The sequence below is a fragment of the Homo sapiens genome, chromosome 8, assembly GCF_000001405.40.
Source record: "Homo sapiens chromosome 8, GRCh38.p14 Primary Assembly".
NCBI classification, from domain to species: Eukaryota; Metazoa; Chordata; class Mammalia; order Primates; family Hominidae; genus Homo; species Homo sapiens.
In genome coordinates, this window is record NC_000008.11 from 26,494,298 (window position 1) to 26,518,511 (window position 24,214).

At 45.3% G+C, this 24,214-nt stretch overlaps 2 protein-coding genes across 3 annotated transcripts in view, besides 3 other annotated features; one reads left to right on the plus strand and one right to left on the minus strand.

Annotated features, from left to right (window-relative positions):
* Positions 1-10,403: 10,403 nt before the first annotated feature.
* PNMA2 (PNMA family member 2) lies at positions 10,404-19,575 on the minus strand. 2 transcript variants are annotated; one of them, NM_007257.6, is made up of 3 exons: positions 19,519-19,575; positions 15,251-15,380; positions 10,404-14,946 (listed from the first exon to the last, which is right to left on the minus strand). In NM_007257.6, the coding sequence occupies exon 3, from the start codon at positions 14,456-14,458 to the stop codon at positions 13,364-13,366; it is 1,095 nt and encodes a 364-aa protein (NP_009188.1). In that variant the 5' UTR covers positions 14,459-14,946; positions 15,251-15,380; positions 19,519-19,575; the 3' UTR covers positions 10,404-13,363. The 2 variants fall into 2 exon arrangements, with proteins under 2 accessions (NP_009188.1, XP_011542667.1); XM_011544365.4 differs by having other exon boundaries at positions 18,531-19,575.
* Positions 17,736-18,030: an enhancer, noted in NCBI's record as "tiled region #13991; K562 Activating non-DNase unmatched - State 22:ReprW". NCBI's record gives its function as "activates a minimal TATA promoter and a strong SV40 promoter by Sharpr-MPRA in K562 cells {active_cell/tissue: K562}" and the evidence as "EXISTENCE:reporter gene assay evidence [ECO:0000049][PMID:27701403]".
* Positions 17,736-18,689: a biological region, named in NCBI's record as "Sharpr-MPRA regulatory region 13991".
* Positions 17,817-18,689: an enhancer, noted in NCBI's record as "H3K4me1 hESC enhancer chr8:26369630-26370502 (GRCh37/hg19 assembly coordinates)". NCBI's record gives its function as "activates a minimal SCP1, AML or CMV promoter by ChIP-STARR-seq in naive H9 embryonic stem cells {active_cell/tissue: H9 hESC(naive)}" and the evidence as "EXISTENCE:reporter gene assay evidence [ECO:0000049][PMID:30033119]".
* DPYSL2 (dihydropyrimidinase like 2) overlaps positions 19,734-24,214 on the plus strand; it is a 144,145-nt gene continuing 139,664 nt past the window's right edge. Inside the window, exon 1 of the mRNA NM_001197293.3 lies at positions 19,734-20,382. Within this exon, the coding sequence (NP_001184222.1) occupies positions 20,029-20,382 (354 nt within the window). The 5' untranslated portion in view covers positions 19,734-20,028. The remainder of the gene's footprint in view (positions 20,383-24,214) is intronic.

Consider the following 24,214-nt stretch of genomic DNA (forward strand, 5'->3'; position numbering starts at 1 on the left):
ACTATGTATGAAAGAACAAATAAAATAATGACAGCAGGGTTCTCACTGGAAACAATGCAAGCTAGAAGACAGGAGAGCATACATCTTTAAAGCTCTGAAAGAAAAAAATTGTCAACCAAGAATTTTTTACCCAGCACAGATATCTTTCAGAAAAAGAGTGTGAAATAAAATTTTAGACATAGCTAACGGAACTCATCCAACAGAATTGCACTGCAAGAAATAATAAACAAAGTCTTTAAAAGACTTAAAGCAGAAGGAAAATGATACTAGGTGAAAATATGAATCTCCAAATTAATAAAGGGTGCTAGAAAAGTGCCCTAAATACGTGAGTAAATATGTTGGATTTTAAAATTGTTTAAATTGTTTCAACAATAATTGACTAAATTGTTTGTTGTTTGTTTTTAAGACAGGGTTTCGCTCTGTCACTCAGGCTGGAGTGCAGTGGCACAATCATGGTTCATTGCAGCCTTGGCTTCTCAGGCTCAGGTGATCCTCCTGCTTCAACCTCTCAAGTAGCCCGAACTACAGGCACATGCCACTATGCCCAGCTAATTTTCAAAATTATTTTTAGAGATGGGGTCTCCCTACGTTGTCCAGGCTGGCCTCAAACTCCTGGTCTGAAGGGATCTTCTCATCTTAGCTCCTGGGATTACAGGCATGAGCCACCACGCATGGACAATAATTGACCGTTTAAATTTTTTTTAATTTTGAATTTAAAGTATTCTATTATAGCACCAATAACTGATTGTTTAAACAACAACAACCACAGAAACCAACATATTTTGAGTTTATAACATATGTAGAAGTAAAACATATGATAACAATAGCACAAAGGCTAGGAGGGAAAAATGGAAGCCCATTATTATTGCAAGATACTTTAGTTATATGTGAAATAATGTAATATTTGAGGGTAGAGGGTAGTAAGTTAAAGATGGATGCTATAGACCATAAAGCAATTATTAAAATAATGCAACCAATAGTTGCACATAATAAGCCAACAAAGGAGCTAAAATAGAATCATTTAAAAACCCAAAGGAAGGCAGAGAAAGAGTGAAAGGGAAACAGAAAACAGATGGGCCAAATAAACACAAATAGCAATACCAATAATTACATTAAATGTGATCATCACATTAAATGTCTGAACACCTTAATTAAAAGGTAGAGAGTGCTAGATTAGGTAAGATCCAACTATATGCTGTCTACTAGTAAGTAACATACATTAAATAAAAAGATGCAATAGATTAAAAGTGAAAGGATGGAGAAAGATATACTACGTTAGCACTTATCAAAGGAAAACTGGATCAAAGTGGATTTCACAGGAAAGAATAATTCCGGAAATAAAGACAATAATTTTATAATGATCAAGTAGTCAATTAGTCAAGACAATCTTATATGTGCATGAATCTAATAACAGAGCTTTAAAATGTGGAGCAAAAACTGATAGAACTGTAAAGAGAAATAGATAAATGTACAATTTCAGTAAAAATATTTTTTAAACTCTCTGAAAATTAATAGAAAGGTAGATTGAAATTCAGCAAGGCTAGAGATGTCTTGAACACTACCAACTAACTTACTTTAATTGACACCTATAGAACACTTCACTCAAAAAGTGCAGAATTCACATTCTTTTCAGGAACACATGGAACATTTATATGTGGTGGGACATAAAACTAATCTTAATAAATCTGAAACTATTTTGATCACATAAAGTTCTTTCATTATAAAGAAATTCAATTGTAAACCCAAACCAGAAGATATATAGAAACACCCATATTTGGAAATGAAACAGCACACTTCTAAATATCCCATGAATCAAAGAAAAACAATCAGAAGGGAAACTAGGAAGATTTTGAAATGAATGAAAATCAAAATACAACACATCAACATTTATGAGATGCAGCTAAAGCAGTACTGAGATGAAATTTTATAGCACTGAGCAGCTATATTATAAAAGAAGACAAGCCTCAATGATCTTTCTGCCTCAAGAAAAGGAAAAAAGAAGGGCAAACAAAACTCAAGGTAAGCAGAAGAGAAAGAAAAAGTCAGAAAGATTAGAAGAGAAGTTAATAAAAGGGGAAACAAAAATTAGCGAAATTAAAGATGTTTTTTGAGGAGAGTGACAAAATTGATAAGCCTCTTGCTAGACTGGTCAGGAAGAGAGAAGAGAACAAATTACCAAGGAGAGACAGAGGAACAAGAAAGGTGATGCCACAGATTTTGCAGATATTAAAGGAACAATAAAGGAAATTACCAAAAATTGTGCCAATAAATTAGGCAACTTCGATTAAGTGGAAAAAACCCTTGAAACCCCCAAACTTACTCAAGAAGGTATTGATAATCAAGGTAGCCCTATATGTATTAAAGGAATTGAATTTATACTTAAAACTTTTCCCATAAAGAGAACTCCAGTCCCAGAAGGCTGAACTGCTGAATTCTAGGAAACATTTAAGAAAGAAATAATAACCAACCACTTCCAGAAAAATGAATAGGAGATACTACCTGCCCTCATGCTGTGGGGTCTGTATTACTCTCATTCCAAGACCAGACAATGATGTTACAAAAAAGAAAACTAAATACCAATATTCCTCATATACTCATATGCATAAATGAGAAAATTCACTTTTTTTTTTTTTTTGAGACAGGGTCTCACTCTGTTCCTGATGCTGGAGTGCAGTGGTGCAGTCTTGGCTCCTTGCAGCCTCAATCTTCTGGGATTTTAAGTAATCCTCTCACCTTAACCACCCAAGTAGCTGGCGCTATGGATGCGCACCACCATGCCCAGTTAATTTTTGTATTTTTGGAGAGATGGGGTTTTGCCATCTTGCTCAGGTTGGTCTGGAACACCTGGGCTCAAGCGATGCTCCTGCCTTGAGTTAAGAAAAAACCGGCAAGAATTATAGGGATTAATTGACAATTATACAATTACAGGAAGGAATTTTAATATAGCTGAATTAGAAAATGATGGGTAAAATAGTGAAAAATTAAAATATACAGGATTTGAACAATAAATTAACAATTAGGAATCCTACAACCAATATATAGAAAATATAGATATTTCTCAACAGTACATGGGGCATTTACAAAATTGGTCACATGTTATGCAACAAATGAAGCATCAACACATTTCAGAAAATTAATATGTTCTCGTCACAATGCAATTCCTTGGAAATATCATAAAATAAAGTACTTATTTTAACTACTTTATTCCCCCCCAAAATTAACTCACAGTTTAAAGAAAAAAAATCACAATAAAAATATTTAAAATATTACATATAAAATTGTGGGATGTAATAAACATAGTACTTGGACATACATACATTTCTATGCTTAAATACATTTATTGAAAAATCATGAAACAGAAAACAAGGAACTATCTTCAAGAAGGTAGAAATGAAATGGTATGTTAATTCTAAACATGGTGAGAGGAAAGAAATAAAAATAAGAATAGGAATTAATGAAATAATGATTCAGAGGATTAAAAAACCTAAAAGCTGATTGTTTGAAAAAATAAATAAATAAAATGGCCAACTTCGGCCGGGCACAGTGGCTCAAGCCTGTAATCCCAGCACTTTGGGAAGCTGAGGTGGGTGGATCACCTGGGGTTGGGAGTTCGAGACCAGCCTGACCAACATGGAGAAACTCTGTCTGTAATAAAAATACAAAAATTAGCTGGCTGTGGTGGTGCATGCCTGTAATCCCAGCTACTTGGGAGGCTGAGGCAGGAGAATTGCTCAAACCTGGGAGGTGGAGGTTGCAGTGAGCCAAGAGTGTGCCATTGCACTCCAGCCTGGGCAACAAGAGCGAAACTCCATCTCAAAATAAATAAATAAATAAATAAAATTTTTAAAAAAATGTCCAACTTCTGGATATATTTACCCAGAAAAAAAGAAAAAGAAAAACTGCAAATAATTAACATTTGGAATGACAATGGAGCCATAACTACAGAAGTATTAACAATTTAAAACATCTGAAGAGAACACTGACAAATTTTTGCCTATACATTTGAAAACTTAGATAAAATGAAAAAATTAGAAAATCTGAGTTATTAGAATTGATTATAGAATAAGATAGAAAACCTAAATACTTCAATCACCAGTCAAGAAATTCAATCAGTAGTTAGAAGTTTCTCCCCAATTGCCCCAGCTCACTTCCTACTTCCCTCTACCAACTACTTTCACATATTCCAAGTTCAGATAATTTTAAAAGCACATTTTTACTAAACCTTGACTGAACAAATAATCCCTACTTATCCAGTGGTATGAAGATGTTATTGCCTTTTGGTCTTTTGGTCTCCATATTTCTCATGATATGTGAGCACTAATTCCTATTGTTATTCCTTAGTATGTAATATGTCATTTTCCTCTGGCTGCTTTTAAGGTTTTCTCTTCCACAAAAAGAATACAACACCTAAGAATACAGCTAACCATGGAGGTGAAAGATCTCTACCGCAAGAATTACAAAGCACTGCTCAAAGAATTCAGAGATGACACAAACAAATGGAAAAACATTCCATGCTCATGGTTAGAAAGAAAATGAAACTGAAAATGGCCATACTGCACAAATCAATTTACAGATTCAATGCTATCCCTATCAAAGTACCAATGACATTCTTCGCAGAATTAGAAAAAAGTATTTTAAAAGTCACTTGGAACCAAAACAGGGCTTGGATAGCCAAGGCAATCCTAAGCAAAAAGAACAAAGCTGCAGGCATCACATTCCCAAATTTTAAACTATACTACAGGGCTACAGTAACCAAAACAGCATGGTACTGGTACAAAGACACATAGACCAATGGAACACAATAGAGAGCCCAGAAATAAACTCACACACTTACAACCATCCAGTCTTTGACAAAGTCAACAAAAATAAGCAATAGAGAAAAGACTCCTTATTCAATAAGTGGTGCTGGGATAACTGGCTAACCATATCCAGAAGACTGAAGCTGGACCCCTTCCTTACACCATATACAAAAATCAACTCAAAATAGATTAAAGACTTAAATGCAAAACCTAAAACTATAAAAACCCTGGAAGACAGCCTACGAAATATCATTCTGGATGTAGGCCCTGGCAAAGATTTTATGATGAAGATACCAAAAGTAATTGTAACACAAATAAAAATTGACAATGGGACCTAATTAAACTAAAGAGCTTCTGCACAGTGAAAGAAACTATCATCAGAGTAAACAGACAACCTACAGAATGAGAGAAAATTTTTGCAAACTGTGCATCCAACAAAGGTCTAATATCCAGAATTTATAAGGAACTGAAACAAATTAATAAGCAAAAAACAAACAACCCTGTTAAAAAGTGGGCAAAGGACATGAACAGACACTTTTCAAAAGAAGACATACATGCAGCCAACAAGCATATGAAAAAATGCTCAACATCACTGATCAGTAGAGAAATACCAGTCAGAATGGCTATTATTAAAAAAAAAAAGATGCTGGCAAAGTTGCAAAGAAAAGGGAATACTTATATACTGTTGGTGGGAGTGTAAAATAATTCATCCATTGTGGAAAGCAGTGTGGTGATTTCTCAATGAACTTAAACAGAAGTATCATTAGACCCAGCAATCCTATTATTGGGTATATACCCCAAAGAATGTAAATAACTCTACCATAAAGACACATGCACAGGTATGTTCATTACAGCACTATTCACAATAGCAAAATTATGGAATCAACCTAAGTGCCCATCATTGGTAGACTGGATAAAGAAAATGTGATATATATACACCGCGGAAGACTACGCAGCCAAAAAAACACACGATCATGTCCTTTGCAGCAAAAATAATGAAGCTGGAGGCCATAACACTAAGCGAACTAATGCAGGAACAGAAAACCAAATACTGCATGTTCTCACTTATAAGTGGGAGCTATACATTGAGTACACAAGAAGGGAACAACAGACTCTGTGGCCTACTTGAGGGTGGGAGGAGGGACAGGATTGAAAAACTACCTCTCAGGTACTATGCTTATTACCTGGGTGACAAAATAATCTGTGCACCAAACTCCTGTGACCATAATTTACCCACATAACAAGCCAGCACATATTCTCTTGAACCTCAAATAAAAGTTGAGCAAATTTTCTCCTTATCTTTGGTTTATAGCAGTTTGACTATGCTATGCTTGTATGTGATTTTCTTCACATTTATTCTGCTTCGAGTTGTCTGTTCCCATCTTATGTCTTATTCCACTTCTGATTTAAGTTTTAATTTCTTTCCTTTTTTTTTTTTTTGAGACAGAGTCTTACTCCATTGCCCAGGCTGGAGTGCAGCAGTATGATCTTGGCTCACTGCATCTTCTGCCTCCTGGGTTCAAGCGATTCTTGTGCTTCAACCTCTCTCATTCTCCTGAGTATCTGGGATTATAGGCATGAGCCACCATGCCCAGCTAATTTTTGTATTTTTTAAGTAGAGACAGGGTTTCACCATGTTGGCCAGGCTTGTCTAGAACTCCTGGACTCAAGCGATCTGCCTGCCTTGGCCTCCAAAAGTGTTGGGATTACAGGTGTGAGCCACCGCGCCAGGCCCTAAGTTTTAATTTCTGTTGCTTGATCTTTTGTTTCTGATGTAGGGTGGAAATGCCCACAGTGAGTGTTGGGGGAAGGTGTTAGGTATGATCTCCTCTGCCTCTCTTCTTATTCCTTCATCCATATTAATTACCATCTTACCCCTGGGTCTGAGTGCTCTAATCACCTCCTAAGTAGATGCCCAGTTTGGGTATAACCTGCCCATTCCTGGAAAATACTATATCCCCACCCTGGTAATAGTGGAAGTAGATGTGCCCAGCCTTACCCCTGCACTACAATTTTGATGGGGTCTTAAGTTGAACCAAAATATATCCTGGTTACGGGAGGTATACATTTCAGACCATGCCATCATGAATTCTGAAGCATCAGAGAACTTGTGGGCAAGCCTGGTCAAGGAGGAATAGCTCCTAAGTGGTTCAGCTACTGATAAACCTGGAGGTCCCAGTAGAAAAATATGATCTATAGATTCCAGGGGGCTGCCAAGCAGCCCCTTTAGTAATTTATGAAAACCCATACAAGGTCTTGGGTACAGCCTGTGAGACTCATACAGCTTTCTTTCTCATCCCACATTGCCATTTGTAGGCCAAACTCAGACCAGTGACAGGGCTTGTGAATCCTAAGAATTACTACCTTAGCTTTAGACCCATAAATCACCTTGAACTTGGAAATGGCCTTGTCCATTCTAGATTGACAGATGTTATTCCTAAGATGGCAGCACACCTAGCTCTAGACATTTACAGTTATCTTAGGCTCATACAGAAGATTTTTATTTTGAACATAGAAATGTCCACTGACCAGTACTTGGAATAGCGAGCAGGGTCGCAAAGCTCCACAAACGTGATCAGAGGCTGACACCTTTGTATGGGATGTTGCCAGGCAGTGCAATGCCACCGCTGGTCAGCAGAACCCAGTCTCCCGTACTCACCAGCCTGGTTTCCACTGGCTTGCTTATGCTCACTTACAATATAAAGTTTACTTTTGCGACAACTGCTTGTTAGTTCCAGAAAGCTTTTATTTTAGTTAATTGTGTTCATTGGGAAAGCTGTTGTGCCCAGAAGCCAGGAAAGGCCTTCAATGGGACTTTCAGGCAGGGAGCATCCGGTGGGATGGGATGGGGACCCCTTCCTGCTGTGGGACTACCCGCAGTGGCGCCCAGCCCCAGCACCCTGCACAGTCTGGTAACTCTTCCCCTTTGGTAAATTTTCCCTTCAAGTGGGAGGAGGGCACTTTGGGAAAAAGCCTCAGCTGCTGCTTCTGCTGCTTAAAGCAGTCCAGACGATTAATGGGCAGCTCCAGCTGCTATCCTGAAAGTGAGACTGAAATCTTACACCTTTTTTCCTTATGATAAAATTGATTTTGGCATACACTTTTGGAGTTGCTGTAATTTTTAGGAAAGTGCCCATCTGGAAGGTCAAGGAGCATTTGGATACAGCAAAGGAGTTGTGTCACACAGGTTAGGACCAGGACAGCTCCAGGACCTGGTACATGGGAAGGCTTTCTTTCCCTTCCCTCCCCTCCCTTCCCCTCCCCTCCCCTCCCTTCCCTTCCCTTTCCTCTCCTTTCCTCTCCTTTCCTTTTTTTCTTTTCTTCCTCCCTCCCTCCCTCCCTCCCTCTCTCTCTCTTTCTTTCTTTCCTTTTCTTCTTTTTGAGACAAGATCTCACTCTGTCACCCAGGCTGGAGTCCAGCGGTGTGATCATGGCTCACTGCAGCCTCGACCTCCTGGGCTCAAGTGATCATCCTGCTTCAGTCTCCTGAGTAGCTGGGACCACAGGTGTGCACCACTATGCATGACTAATTTACTTTAAAATTTTTTTGTAGAGACAGTGTCTTGCTATGTTACCAAGGCTGGTCTTAAACTCCTGGCTCAAGCGATCCCCCTGCCTCAGCCTCCCAAAGTGCTGAGACTACAGGCGTAAGCCAACCACACCCAGCCTGGAAAGGCTAGCTTCCGAGAAGCCTACTTATGGGCACCATCTTTCTCTCCACAAGAGCATCTCCATGAGCATAAGTCTTCTCTGAGCAAACTCAAGGAATTCCTGGCCCACCCTAACAGACAGGGGGTAAGTGAGATGTCTGCCCTGATCCTGGGCCTTCAGACCATTCAAAGATTCAGCTGGTGGCTAACATAAAACAAGCCTGCAGCACGTTCAACAACACTTGTCTCAGATCTTCTTACCTAGCTTCTGCATTTCATTTCAGGCTCCACTCCTTCAAAACGCTAGCTTCCAACCCTCTTTGCTATTTCAGTCTTGTAGGACTTCCTTGGACATGTCTCACGGTCATTGTATTTTTCTTCCTAGTCTTTGTTGCTTTAGGTAACACCAGGCCACATTCAGCCCTAAAGGGACCCCTCTGCCTTGACTCATTTTGTCATTGCTTTGTCATTGCCATCATCCAGGCCTGTCAGGGACACTCCACAGCAGGTGGTGGGACACAGTGGGTGAGCTTATGCCAGGAAGGAACAAATGTATTTGCAATGACAATGAGCTAGGAGGAATGCTACCACCACCTTCCAGCCTCTCCTGAGCTGGGGGAGACTGAGCCCCTTCCCCTCCAGGGGCTGCACAGGGAGGAGGACCAGAGTTCAGTGCAGGAAGATGGTGACAAGGTATTCAGTAAGGACTCTGATGTTCAGGCTGGTTTGTATAGATACCGTGGAATGTCCAGAAGGTAAGTTGGAAGCATGGCATAGCTGGGAAAGGAGAGCAAAGCCGAGAGCTGCTGAGCAAAGTCTTGCATTTAGGATGGGCAGCAGAACCCAAGAGGAGGGGTGGCCTAGTGGACATGGTGGGTGCAGGTGCATGGCAGGTGACACCAAAGGCCTAAAAAGGCAGGAGGCTGATGGCCTCAGTCTTCACCAGACAGCACTGGTGGAAAGTTATCCTCAGCAGTGATTCAAGAATCTTGGGGCCTGTATTTGAGAGTCAGGACTGGAGAAGTATGAAGTATAGGATGAGACCACCCCTTGGAGAGTTTGCTTGGGTGAGTGGGAGATGGCGTTGGGCCCCCTTGGGACATTCCTCTTTAATGGGCTGGTCTGCAGGATGTATGGCCCAGTGAAAGATACTCCCCCATTGCACTTTAGAAAAAAGAAGGAGAAGCAATTTCAAGAAGGCCAAAGGCAAGAGGAATTTCCCCCCATATACCTCCATAGAATAAAAGGTGACTTCAGGCTGGGCACGGTGGCTCATGCCTGTAATCCCAGCACTTTGGGAGGCCAAGACAGGTGGATTACCTGAGGTCAGGAGTTCGAGCCCAACCTGATCAACATAGTGAAACCCTGTCTCTACTAAAAATACAAAAACTTAGCTGGAACGTGGTGGTGCACCCCTGTAATCCCAGCTACTCGGGAAGCTGAGGCATGAGAATCACTTGAAGCTGGTAGGCAGAGTTTGCAGTGAGCCGAGATTGTGCCACTATACTCCAGCCTGGGTGACACCTTGTCTCAAAAAAAAGAAGAAGAAGAAGAAGAAAAAGGGTGACTTCAGCCCAGAAAAGCAATATTCGACCTTCAGGGTCATTCACCCTTGGCAGAATAGAGTCTGGGAATTTATCTGTACAGTTACTTTCCTAAGCAAATGAGCTGGGGGGTCTCTGAGGCAACTGACCTCCATCTGTTGTTTCTGTATATTTTAAAAGAGAAATCGATAATGGGTGGACCGAGCTCTCCCTTGTCCCCAGAGACATAGTTCAAGTATTCTTGTTCAAGCATTTTTTTGCTTTCAGGTTTTCTTGCCTACAGGATTCTAAGACCTTTTGGCTTTAGCTTGATTTTCTCAACTTATCTCTCAAAATTTTTCAGTAACAAAGCTCCTTCTTCAAGCAGTACTTTATAGAGACCACGATATAGGAAACAGAAAAACTCAGGATTTTATTAGCATATATTTATTTTATAACTTCACATTTATAACATTTTACTTTGTATACCGCCAATAAATGACAATGAAACTATTTTCATAAATACAAAAACACATGAAATTAGGGTGTCATGGTAACCACTGCATCACTTTGGTGGAACAGTATTAAAAATAGAATTTAGAAAGATAAATGATCACAAGTGATACCTTTTAAAAAATGCTTTTCTTACAATCTCAGGATATTCTTCAGTTAAACTGAACCACAATCAGAAAAAATAAGTAATTATTTAAAAGTCAAACCTCTAACAATTGTCAACAACTGCTGGAAGAGTCATCACAAATATAAAAAACAACAAGCACTCAAATTTACAATAAGAGATGAAACGGTTTCTAACACCAGGGTAGACTGGAAGTCAACTGGAAGCATATTAGCTTGTTACCACACAACTGTCAGAACAATAAAGAAAGCATGCATTGAGCAGACAGGAACATCGTGAAAATCCTAAGAGCTTCAATGTATTGAGGGCTTTCTGTGTTCCAGATGTCATGCAACGTGCTTAAAAAGCATTAAGTCATTTGTTCATAACAACCGTGTACTCTCATCTTCTTATTTTTCAGATGTGGAAACTGATGTCTAGAGAAGCTAAGCAATTTGCTTACAGTATGCACAAATCTACCACAAGACTACACATCAACTGTGTTGGAGATTTGCCTAGCACATATAACTAAATGGTGCTCATCTGCACTGCACTCACACACTTACGTGATACACAGGTCTGATCTAAATACACAGGTCTGATCTACACAACCATGTGGTGCTACCGCTTTTAAAATCTGTGAACAATTAAAAGAAGTTTGGATACGTACACAGATACCATAAAGGAAACTTTGCTCTAAGGTCTGCACAAAATGAGCCAATCTGAAAATAAAAGTAAACCTGGTGGTGAATGCTGATGTGTTAAAATTTGGTTATCAGCCCATTTGAATCTAGCTGCATTTACTAGAGACTTAAAGAGTTTAGCCCAGGCATGGTGGCTCACACCTGTAATCCCAGCACTTTGGGAGGCCGAGGTGAGTGGATCACTTGAGGTCAGGAGTTCGAGACCAGCCTGGCCAACATGGTGAAACCCCATTTCTACTAAAAATACAAAAATTAGCTGGGCGTGGTGGTGGGTGCCTGTAATCCCAGCTACTCGGGAGGCTGAGGCACGAAATCGCTTGAACCTGGGAGGCGGAGGTTGCAGTGAGCTGAGATTGCACCACTGCACTCCAGCCTGGGTGATAGAGCAAGACTCAGTCTCAAAATAATACTAATAATAATTAAAAAAATAAAGAGTTTAAAACACATTTTGGAGATGGCACTGCTAGAAAATCTGCAGAACTGCAGAGCACAATTTGAAAGTCATCGTGATGGTAGAGGATGGACTAGTGTGAGTCAGAAAGTTCTGGGCTTCTGTCTAGGCTCCATCACTTCTTGGCATTTTGGTGTTGAGGAGACCACTTAACTCATCTGAGCTTCGGTCTTTCTCTTTATAAAGAGCAAAATTATACCACAACAGGGTGGCTGTATACATTCAATGAGATATACATGAAACACTTTGCACACAGTAGGCCCTCAATAAATGTGAGTTCCTTTTCTCTCCTCTTCATCCTTTGTTGCCACTAAAAGCCTTCTCTAAGCAAACCAGCCTGCTCACTAAATCCAAACCTGCCCTAAACAACCCTGCTCTCAAGCATGCAGTCCCCTCATGTCCCCCTTTCTTTGGGGACACCTCTCAGGCTGTGGACCTCTGGAAAGTAAAGCTTAGGTTGAGTCATCTGTGTCTTCAGGGCCTGACACAGCACCTAGCTCTGGGACCATCTATCTGACACCTAGCAGAAAGGCAGGAAGAACACTTCCCAGGTTAAAACAACAACAACAATGACAACAACAACAACAAAAATCTGCAGGCAGAGGTGGTCCTATTCACTGGGTGATGACACTTTTACTGGGGTGATGAACTTATTTACACAAAGGGTTAGTTAGCCTTTTACCTGTCTAGATCAGCTCCTCATCTAGACTGGAACCTCTCTGAGGGCAGGGCCCATTTTGTAGGTTTATAACTGCTCAACTGCAGGTTATAGCTGTAGTCTTGTAACTCCTTGTACAGTGTCTCACAAAGCCAGGCACTCAGAGAGAATTTGCTGATTTGAGAAAGGAAAACACCTGACAAGTCAAACAGCTTTATTTTTCAAACATTACAAAAGGTATTTTTTTTTTTGACTGCCAATTCTTTCTTCTATGGTATGGGCCAATTCTGGTCTATTTGGGATTATTTAAAGAAAATTGGAAGTACAAGTGTTTCAGATTCCTTCAGGCTTACTATTTAATATTTGGAGTTTAATCTTTTGTTCATTAATAATCTACATAGGGTCTAAGAAACTCCTAGATATTTTTTTCTTAAAAAGAAAAATCAAGGGCCAGGCATGGCGGTTCATGCCTGTAATCCCAGCACTTTGGGAGGCCGAGTTGGGCACATCATTTGAGCCTAGGGGTTCCAGACCAGCCTGAGCAACACAGCAAAACCCTGTCTCTACCAAAAATACAAAAGAATAGCTAGGCATGGTGGTGCGTGCCTGTAGTCCCAGGTACTTGGGAGGCTAAGGTGTGAGGATCACCTGAGCCTGAGCCTGGGAAGTCAAGGCTGCAGTGAGCCGAGATTTTTGTGCCACTGCACTCTAGCCTGGGTGATGAGAGTGAGACCCAAGAAATAAAGAAGAAAGAGAAAAAGAAAAAAGGAAGGAAGGAAGGAAAGAGAGGAGAGGAGAGGAGAGAGGAGGAGAGAAGGAGAGAAGGAGGAAGGGAGGGAAGGAAGGAAGGAAGGAAGGTCAATAATTGGCTTTCATGGTTTGATTTCAGTCCCATACATTAAAGAAAAAAATTTTTTAAAGGTCTTAGCCCACTGGCTGTGGGTCCTGCCCCCAGGTGGTTTTCAGTCGTCTCCCTCATGATTCCAGCGGCCATAGCCATCTCGTTCCTCTGGCTCTTCGATACTCTCATTCTCAAAGGAGGCCTCTTCCTCCTCTTCTTCCCGTATTACCTTCATTAGCTCAAGGAAGCTGGGGGGCGGGCCCTGATCCTTCAGCTCCCTAAGCCGGCACCACAGCATCTGGTTAAGAGTGGCCCCAGCCATGACCTGCTCCAGGCGGACCTGGTCCGCAATACGCCGAGGGATGGCGCGTTTCTCCACCGCTCTCCGGAGCAGGGTTTCTAGCCGTAACACATAGGCTGAGACCTTCTCTCCTTCCTCCTGATAGGTCTTCAGATACCTCACCTGGGCTGTCCTGCGGCTCTCTAGGCTCCCAAACACTTGCTTAAAGGCCTCCAAACACTCTTCTACACTGATGGACGGGTTGTCTGCCTGCACTATGTGCATGAGGTCCAGGGCAGGGCCCCGCAGGCTTTCCGCCAGCCACCTTTTCTTTTCTGCCTCTGTTACTGGCCACTCTTTGACTATCTCCGTGGCCTGTTCCAACCAGACCTCAAAGGACTCTTCCTCTGGGGCTGGGACAGCACTCCCTGAGAATACTCGCAGTTTCCGGTATCTCATGGGTAGCAGGGGCTGAGGCGCATGTGCCATTGCCTGTCCCAACAAATGGGCCAGTAATTCTGGTGAGATGCAGGGCACTGTGGCTGGAGACACGCCCTCCTGCCCCAGGGCTCGAAACATACCCGAGACCGTCTGCCCCTCTTTTTCTAGAAACAGGTTCAATCTTTCAAGAAACTCAGTGTCCTGATTAGGGGTCTTAAAGATCACCTTCCAGACACCCCCCTTTCCCTGGACCTCACTGGGAATGGCCGAGACATCAGTATCTTCCAGAAGCTCTAGTAAGACAGCATTGGCATTCTCCTGCTTCCGGAATATCTTGCCAAGCAGTCTATACCTGCCCAGAGACTTTAAAGTCTCCTGAAGGACCTCCTGAATCTCAGCCTCCTCAAAGTCCGCCGGTATCCCCGTAACCATCAGTGACTTCTGCTCATCCACACTCATTATCCTGCACCAGTCCTCTAACAGTGCCAGCGCCATTGTCCTAAGAATTGACCCACTCTGACTCTACAGGCACCAATTTGTTAGTGGTGCAGCTATGCACTGACTTAATATTGAAAATATCCTGGATGAGCTTCTAACCTTAGAACCCACCAATGAATGGGTCCCAGACTAGGTCACTCAAAGACAGTCACAAAGTTTTCTGGACAAATGACCCTGGCCTACTCAGTGGCAAGAACTCAGGACTTCTTGTCTTTAGGCCTGACCCAGGTGGGCAGGTCGTATCTCAGTTCTAACCACACCTGTGCCCGCAGCTCTGAAGTCCGATTGCCAGTGATTTTCTCAAAGATGCTGGCAGCCACGTGACGCTGACCCTTCTCTGATAGTTGAGGCACCTGGGACAGCTGCTTTCTCCACAGCCTCCTGGTCTCTGATGTTTCGTCTCTCTCCAGTTGATGGGAAAATGCCTTCCACTCTGGGACCCAGAACTCTTGAAGAGAAGCCTCCCAGCAGGGCGGCTTGGACCCCTGGTGAAACAATGTTCAGTTTTACTACACAGCACTCTCTTTCCTTGGAAGCATCCATACTCTAATCTGGAATGGAACTGGGGGCAGATGGCGGTTCTGCTTTACACTGCGCTTGCATTTGTCCCACTCTGTCAGACCCCTTCTTTGCTCACTGTGACTTTTTTTTCTCTTGGGGACTCCAATGAAATCTGGTGTCCCCACCATATGCTCATCAGACCTGTTGATTAATGTCTGAGCCCCAGTTAAGGACAGGATTCAAGGTCTTTGCCATTGAAAGATGAAATCAGGAGATGTGGCTAAATACCTGTTGATGTGTTCCCGAGTGTTCCGCGAGAGGTGAGGAGCTTATTTATTCACCTTTTAGCACAGGAAGACATCACCCACCTCCACACAGTGGTGTGTCTGGCTCTTAGCTCCAGCCAAGCCAAGCTGCTCTGTTACACATAAACAATAAGAACAGGTATTTATGCTTCATTAATATTCAGTAGGAAGACCGTTAATGCACTTATTCAAAAATATGATAATCCTTCACAATACTACTCAATATTAAGTTGCTTTACCTCTTTGATTAACAAAACTAATGAGGAATCACTCAAACGTTTAAAAATAGTTTAATCTAGGTATAACAATTCAGGGAAAAAAATCTCAGGGCCGACTAAGTTAAATCGGGAATTATGAATTAATTCTCTTTTGTTGTGTCTGGAAGGCTTTGCAAACACACATTTGGGCTTTGCTTTTGCTATGAATGGTAAGTGAAATAGTTTGAAGGTTTGTCCCCTCCAAATCTCATGCTGAAATGTGATCCCCAGTGTTGGAGGTGGGGCCTGGTGGGATGTGTTTGGGTCATGAGAGTGGATCCCTTATGAATGGCTTGGTGCCATTCTTGGGGTAATGAGTGGGTTCTTGTTCTATTAGCTTCCTCGAGATCTGATTGTTAAAAACAGACTGCCACCTCCCTCCCCTCACTCTTGCTCCCTTTCTTGCCGCATCTGCTCCCTCTTTGCTTTCTGCTATGACTGGAAGCTTCCTGAGGGGTCACCAGATGCAGATGTCAGCACCATACTTCTTGTACAGCCTGCAGAACTGTGACCCAAATAAACCTCTTTTCTTTATAAATTATCCAGCCTCAGGTATTCCTTTATAGCAACACAAAATAGACTAAGACAATAAGTTACTAACACAACACTCTCCAAGCATTTGTTTCTGTTTCTGTTTTTTGAGACAGGGTCTCACTCTGTTGCCGAGGCTGGAATGCAGTGGTGTAAACACGGCTCACTGTAGTAGCCTTGATCTCTCCTGGGCTCAAGCAATCCTCCCACCTCGACCTCCTGAGTACCTGGGACCACAGGCACATGCCACCATGCCTGGCTAGTTTTTTAAATTTTGTGTAGAGACGCAGTCTCCTTACGTTGTTCAGCCTGGTCTCAAACTCCTGGGCTCAAGCAATCCTCCCGCCACAGCCTCTCACAGTGCTGAATTACACACTTGAATCACCACACCCAGCCTTTCCTAACATTTGAACTTTAACCCATCATTTGAGAAAAAAGAAAAAAGGAGGAAGCACACCTATCAAGGATTTTGTTCTGGAGAACCTGTGAGGATTAGAGAACGTAAAAAAGTTAGAGTTGGCCAGGCGTGGTGACTCATGCCTGTAATCCCAGCACTTTGGGAAGCCAAGGCGGGTAGATCACTGAGGTCAGGAATTCGAAACCAGCCTGGCCAACATGGCCAAACCCCGTCTCTACCAAAAATACAAAAATTATCTGGGTGTGGTGGCACGTGCCTGTAATCCCAGCTACTTGGGAGGCTGAGGCAGGAGAATCGCTTAAACCTGGGAGACGGAAGTTGCAGTGAGCCACGATTGCACCACTGCACTCTAACCTGAGTAACAGAGCAAGACTCTGTCTCAAAAAAAAAAAAAAAAAAAGTTAGAGTTCCTAATACCTCCCAGTTACTGCTGCGGAGTGTGTGTTAAGGGGCTACAACCATTTCCCCCTTGGCCTAAACATCTTCATCAATTCGAATGGGGGCCATACGCCACAGTGCTGTCCTGTAACTCTATCAGCAGTGCTCCTGCTGTGGGAAGATCTCCTGAGTCTTCTGGGAAGTGCTGAAGGCACCAGGGGTGCCAGAGAGCCAGGAGGGCAAAATGCTGCTTCACCCCTGTGCCCAGGAGCCCCAGAGACCTGAGACTGCTGACTTCTCCATGCCTGACTTTTCCTTTCTAAAATGTGGGGACTGTGGGGGAGGGCCAGGTGCAGTGGCTTACACCTGTAAACCCAGCACTTTGGGAGGCCAAAGCGGGAGGATCACTTGAGCCCAGGAGTTTGAGACCAGCAACATAGTGCGACCCTGTCTCTACAAAAAGGAAAAATAAAAAAATTAGCTGGGCGTGTGGCACTCGCCTGTAGTCCCAACTACTTGGGAGGCTGAGGAGGGAGGACTGCTTGAGCCGAGTGGGTCAAGGCTACAGTGAGTTGCGTTTGCACCATTGCATTCCAGCCTGGGTGACAGTGTGAGACTCTGTCTGAAAACAAAAACAAAAATAAAAAAACCAGCTGGGGGCAACCTTCCTCCCCACTGGGATATTTAGAGGAAACAGGGAATGTAAAAAGACACTGCCCAGGAAAAAGCATCTCTATGGTCTACAGAATGACTGCTATGCTGAAGTTAGGCTATCTTCAGATGACTCTTCCTCCCAGTGTGACCTGCAGTGTTACCTTCAAATAAAAACATGGCAAGAAACACCCTTGATATACAATAGGGCCATGGATGGAAATATCTGGATACGGTAGAAATAGAAGAACCTTGTATTTTCTCACATAAAGGGGGTCACAGGACAAGCTGGAAAAGAAGCCAGACTTTGAGGTGGAAGACTCCCACTGGAATTGCTGGATCATTTAACTAAATACCCAACCTTGGCTATGCGCCCCAAGCTCTCTAAATCTGTTTCCTAACCTGGAAAGCAGTGCTGATAAGGCACGCATCTCACAGTGGGGCTGTGAGTAGGAAATGATGTAATTCAGTTGGAAGCGCTTTTTTCAAATGCTTTATTCAAATGCAAAGCACATCTGCCGCTAAGTCCAAAATGCCCCCTCCGGTTCTCTCAGCCCCTCCACTCCTATATTCTTCTTCCCCAGTCTGTTTCTCATCCGGAGACGCCTTTCCACCTATCAAGATGGGCTGATCTTCAAATTGCGACTGATTGTCCAGCAGATGTAACTATATTCACCAAACTATCTCTCACAATTGGACTGTGGGGGTGGTTGGTAACCGCATTTAATCCTGGGCTGACAATGGGACTGGATCCCTGGTTACACGGCCCTACGCGGTGGCCCTGCGGTAAACGGCCTCTCAGCCCAAACCCACCCTGGTTACTGAGCATGCCCAGAACTCCCTCCCGGGCCACCAAAGGAGGGGCACCATTTCTGCAGGATTTTGCCACTGTGGAAAGAGAGGCGGAGCTGTCATCGCGCAGAGGCAGGGACTGATACGCGGAAAGGACGTGGAGATGGGAATAAGCAATGAAGGACCAGCATTGACCGTGTTAGGCACACAAATCTAATTGCCCCCTGGTTACTTACCAACCCGGTGGCCGTGGCTCAGCTACTGCACACACACACCAAGTTCCTACACACCTTTCCCCTGCTTGGCCCCACACAATTCATGGCACTCACAGCCCACATCCTACCTCCTACTCCGCACCAGATGCGCACCCGCACTTACTCCCCAAACACGTGGCATCTGGTAACCCGGGAAACGCTGCGACTGTGGCGCAGTGCGCAACAGGGGCGGGGGAACCAGGCGGGGCTCTGGGGCGCAGGGGAAAGCTGGAGATTTGGGAAGGGGGTTTCAGTTTGTTTTTTCTCTCTTTTTTTTTTTTTTTTTTTTTTTTTGGTGGAGGAAGCAGAATAAACCAAATCGCGACACGTTCCTGCGCCCTTCTTGGCGCAGTGGCGCAGACACGGTCCATGGCGCCTTGCGCAATAGAGTCGGTCTGCACCCCGTCTTTAAGTCGTGGCCCTGGGCTGGAATTCCCGACTGCACTCTTTGCTACACCCCCATAGACCGCAGACCTGCGTCTCTCTCTATATTCCTCTCCCATCTGCTACGCCCCTCTGAATTTCTTCCCGCCATGTTGTGTGCCCCCCCCCCACTCCCCCGTCACCCCAACCACACCAAAGTGGATGCACGAAGCGGGAACCTTCTCGTTTCAGTCTCTGCTCCCTGCAGCCTGCCAAGGCGAGTGGACAAACTGAAGCTGGGGTGTCCAGCGTCTTGGCTGCCCCCCTCCTGTCCACCCTGCCTGTGCTATCCTTGCTCATCTTCAGTGCCATCCCGCTTCCCACACCCTGAGTAGCCTGGCGCCCGGCTTGTCCCCTTTTCCCATCCATCAGCTCACACCCAGGGTAACGGGGCGGGACCCCTATCCACAGTGCGCCCTCGCCCCCGGCCCACCTCCGCCATGCGGCGGGGCAGAGGCGCCTGGGCCAGGCAGGTGGAGGAGAGGGGCACTGGGGCTGGGGGCTGCGTCCTCCGGTCCTCACTCCGCGTGCCCTGCCCGATACTTACCCAGGCGCGGAGAGCGGTCAGCGGGCCCTCCGCTCCGCATCCATTAGCTGGTGGTCTGGCCGCTTCACTTCCGGAGCGCGGGGCTAGGGGCGGTGCCGCCCTCCCCTCTCTCTCTCCTTCCCTCCCCTCCAGCCCTCCCCTGAGCACCGCTCCCCTCCCCGGCGCCGCGCCCCGCCCGCGCCTCCCTCCTCCCAGCGCTGCCGGGAACTGGCAGCCTTTCGGCTCCCGCAGCCGCAGCGGACGCCCTCCCAGATCCAACTTTGCCGCTTCCCCGAGCTCGCGCTGTAGCCGCGGGGGGCGTGGGCAGGGAGGGGAGAAGCGGGGTCAGGGGGAGGGACCGGGAGGGTGGGTCGCCGGCTCGCCAGCCCTCCTTCCTTTCTGTGCACCTTGCGGTGGGCGGCGAACGGCAGCCGCGGCAGCAGCTAGGGGGCTTGTGCACACAGCGAGGGAGACTTAGGGACTGGCAGACGGACGGACGGACGGCGAGGACCCTACCCGAGCCCCCGAGCCATGGCCGAGAGAAAGCAATCCGGGAAGGCGGCAGAGGACGAAGAGGTCCCTGCTTTTTTTAAAAACCTGGGCTCCGGCAGCCCCAAGCCCCGGCAGAAATTCTGTGGCATGTTCTGCCCGGTGGAAGGGTCCTCGGAGAACAAGACCATCGACTTCGACTCGCTGTCGGTGGGCCGGGGCTCGGGGCAGGTGGTGGCTCAGCAGCGGGACGTCGCCCACTTGGGCCCGGACCCGCAGCCGCCGTACTCGCGGCAGGGCCGGCGCGCCGGCGGAGAGCCATCTGTTGAATCGGGCCGGAAGGTGGAGATCCGGAGGGCCTCGGGCAAAGAAGCCCTGCAGAACATCAACGACCAGGTCGGTGTGGGGGTTGGGGGTGGAGACGGAGGACGGGGCGCGGGGATCGCCCCTCCCTCGCCCCTGAGCCCGGCGCGCCCGCCTTCATGCCCCGCCCTGGACCTCGCCTCCCGCATCTGCACGCGCACCCCGCCCTACCCGCCCCTTCTCCGCGCAGGGTGCGGCGAGGCTCGGGCTGGGCGGTGGGCGGCCGTGCGCCCACAAAGGCTGCCCGCGTCTCCTTGAGCTTGAGAGGTGGGGCGTGGGCATAGGGAATGGGCTGATCCCCTGCTGGGGCGGGCGGTGGTCGTCTGGGAGGGGGTTGGCCGCGGTTCCATTCTTCTGAAACCCTCCCGGGCGGCTTCCGATTGCAGCTGCGGCTGGGTGCCCCACCCTTTTTTTGAGCGGCTCAGAGCGTGCGGTGGAGGCTTTGCGTGAAGGCCCGCGGCTCCCCGGTGGTCGGGAGGGGCGGGGGTTCGGACGGCCGCTCCCTACAGCCTCCGCCCGCGCCTTCTGCGCTCACGTCCCGAGCTCCGAGGCCAGGACCATGGTCAGCGCCCCCCGGACCCCCTCCGAGCACCGCACCGCCCTTGACTCCTGCTCGCAGCGTGAGAAGAGCCAGGAAGGCTGTGGAGTCACCCGAGGAAACCGAGACGCTCCTAAATAGCCTATGTGGGGAACAAAGTTCCAATAAGTGTCTCAGCCGGGGCTTCACAGAGCGCTCCCCAAACCGCTATGTGGGAGGCGCTTTAGGAAGCGGGGAACTAAGTGGATTATGTTCAAAGGGTCAAAAAGACAAGAAAAGGGGGAAAACCCCTCGCACTCGAAATAGACTGTCGAAGAAGACTAAACCCCCTTTTATTGTGTTAATGGGGGAAACAAAGGCCAATTTGGTCACGCTTGATTTTAGAAAATGTTTGTCACTTTCTGACAAATATGAACAGTGAGCATTTTCAGCGCAGTAATAATCTCACACCACAATTCTTTCTTTATCTGAGTGATCCTTACACTAGTGTAATTCTTTTCCACAGCCTTAATTTCTTAACTGATAATTTACAATGCAAAATGTTTTAACACGTTTTCCGTTTCTCTCCCATGCCTGCTGGTAAAAATAATAAGTCAATCAATGAATGATTGTTGATTGAATACCTATTGTGCGCCTTGCCTTGTAGGGCAGAGGGAAGGTTAGTTATAGAAAGTGCAAGAGGTTTCTTCTTCTCAGAGGGCTTCCAGAGTAGTTGGGAGTGGTCTATACATATTCAGCGAGGGATTCCACAAGCATTTACATTTGTGTACTTACAGTGACAGCCTTTGAGAACAATTCAGAATTGGTGATGATGGTTGGGGCATGATTTGACTGTTTGCTGATGTGACATAGAGTTTTGCAGCTTTTGACTTTTGTAGGGTCAAGTCTAGGAAAAACAAGGCATTTGCTGTCATTTGTAAAAGGTGACACAACTAATAATTTATATCCAACCCCAGCCCTGCCCTCTAATTTATTCATATAAGGGAGTGTCTCATATCCATATTTCACTATGAGTCAACCAGAAGAAACTAAATCCAAAAAACTTGCTTTGTTCCAAGTGATCAGACAATTGAAGTAAAAGTTTCTAATAATGTAACTTATACTGAAAGCTGAGTGAGTGTGTGTGAAACACTTCCCTGTGTGAGTACATTGAGTGAGGGCCAAAATCATATAGCATCTTGGTTGAGTGAGTAGCCTCATGCATGGCGAGTTGTGCTGGTGATTGTGATGTCCTAGAGAAAGCAGAAAAACAACTGGAGAATAAAGAAGAAATCATGTAAAAAGTGGCAGATCAGAGGATAGGGGTTGAAAGTGGCCCACCCCTATCATGAATTAGAACTCAAGTTTGAAAGGCATAGTTTTATCGGGTTGAATAACACTTCTTTTTTCTTGGCCATTTAGAAGCTTAGATATATGAAATTCTAAATTGTAAAACTAAGGCACGCAGAGGGGGAGATTTGAAGAGAAAATACTCAAACAAACTGCAAGGGAGTTTTAGATTGCAATTCACATTGATTTCAGTTGCCCAGTTATTAGTAACAGAGGGCGATTCTAGCTTGGCCTTTCTGCAGCACCTTCCCCTGAATTTTCATGTTTAATCTTGCCTTATCATATAAGGCCTACTCAATGAGATTTTGTCATTCACGACTAAGAGCATTTACCTGGATCAGTACTTGCAATGTTTCAATATTTCATGTCTTTAGAAAAGGGGAAAGGCTGTGGCTATACATGTGTTTATATTTATAACAATGTGACTTCCGAAAAGCTCAACTGGCCCACCATTTTGACTGAGTTGACTTGTCATTAGTTGGTTTTCAACGAATGAGTTGGGTGAGTGCCAGCATCTCTGTGCATTCTAATTGGAAGCCCTGACGCAGAGAAAGGTGGGGGAGATTGAGAATGGGTGGATCCTGGGACCCTGACTCACACCATCCCTCCTCTCTTGCAGCTTTATTTATGTGTTACTAATGTATGGTCAGATGTGGCTTTGCTCATCTGTTGCACTAAGAGGCCTGCTGTTCCCCTAACAAGGCTTTGGGAAGGGAGAGAATAGGCTTCCTTGACCCACATGCCACATGGCTCATGGAAGATGAGAGATGTTGGACATGTGCATTTGCAGGAACTAAATGAAATTATATTCAGAGTATGAGCCAGACAGCACCAGAAAGCGATGGGTGTGGCTTGACTCGGCATGTCAGATTTTGGCGGAGGAAAAGAGCTGGCATAGTGGTTGTGAATGAGGAAAGCCTCTATCTTGTTACTCTCTTTTTCCTATAAGTCCACTTTGGGCTTCAGTGAGGTTACATTGATCACCACTGTGAAAGACTCTGAGCCTCTTGGAAGAGAGAGAAGAAAGGCATCTCTGTTGGCCCAATCCCCCCTTGTCAGTGCCCAGGGGTCCTTCAGCCTCTTCCCTTCCTCCTAGGAACTTCCTCCATTCCACTCCAGACACAGCGTAGCCAGAACCAGTGGCTCCACCAGCAATACTGGACCATAAGAATGCTTTTCAAAGGGGCCTCTAGGCCCTTTTCCCAGCAGCAAACAACCTATGCAGGCTGGAGTGACAGGGAGTGATTCTCCTCCTCTCCAGGGCAGGTGCCGCTGAATGAACTGCACAGTGCTGCTGAGCTTGGCAATGTTACTGAGTCTGTGAAGTGCTTTCTGGTGCTCCCTTCCATCTGGGTCCCCATCCCTTCTGCCTGTGTTGAATCTCTTCTGGCCCTGGGAGCCCAGTGCTGTGCTGCCCTCTAACTGTACAACGTCATCCCTACTCCATCCCCATAGCATGCCCCTTCTAGACCTTTCTTCTTCCAAAGGGCAACAGGTTCTAAAATCAGTCTTGGCTTCCCTTCTCCCATTCAGAATTCTTAACTTGCATTAATCTTAGTTAAAGAGAAATTCCAATGATTAAAGCCATCTGCTCCTCAGGCAAACAACTGATGCCCAAGTTGTCCCCAGAGATCCGTGTCTGATAATAGACTAGCCTGTTAAACAAAACGAATGTGTGGTTAGTGGGGTGTGTGGTGGAGATTTGGAATAAAGGCAATACCTTGATACTTTACAGGTCATATTGGTTCAAAACAGGAGATACAAGCATTTGTGTGTTCAGGATTCCAAAAAACCTAAGACCCACCCGGGTTCAAAAGGAGGAAAGTGGGGGTGGGGGATAATTGGAGAGGGGAAGGAAAGGATGAAAATCCATAATTATTATTTGCTCTTGATTTCCCAGCTGGTTATTGAACTAATCATATAATTAGTTAAATTAAAATAATTTTTACATAGCCTAAAATTTGCCACCTTACCCATTTTTAAGTGCAGCTCAGTGGT

Coding starts and splice junctions, on each gene's coding strand:
- PNMA2 (NM_007257.6), bottom strand. CDS start 14,458: ATGGCGCTGGCACTGTTAGAGGACTGGTGCAGGATAATGAGTGTGGAT.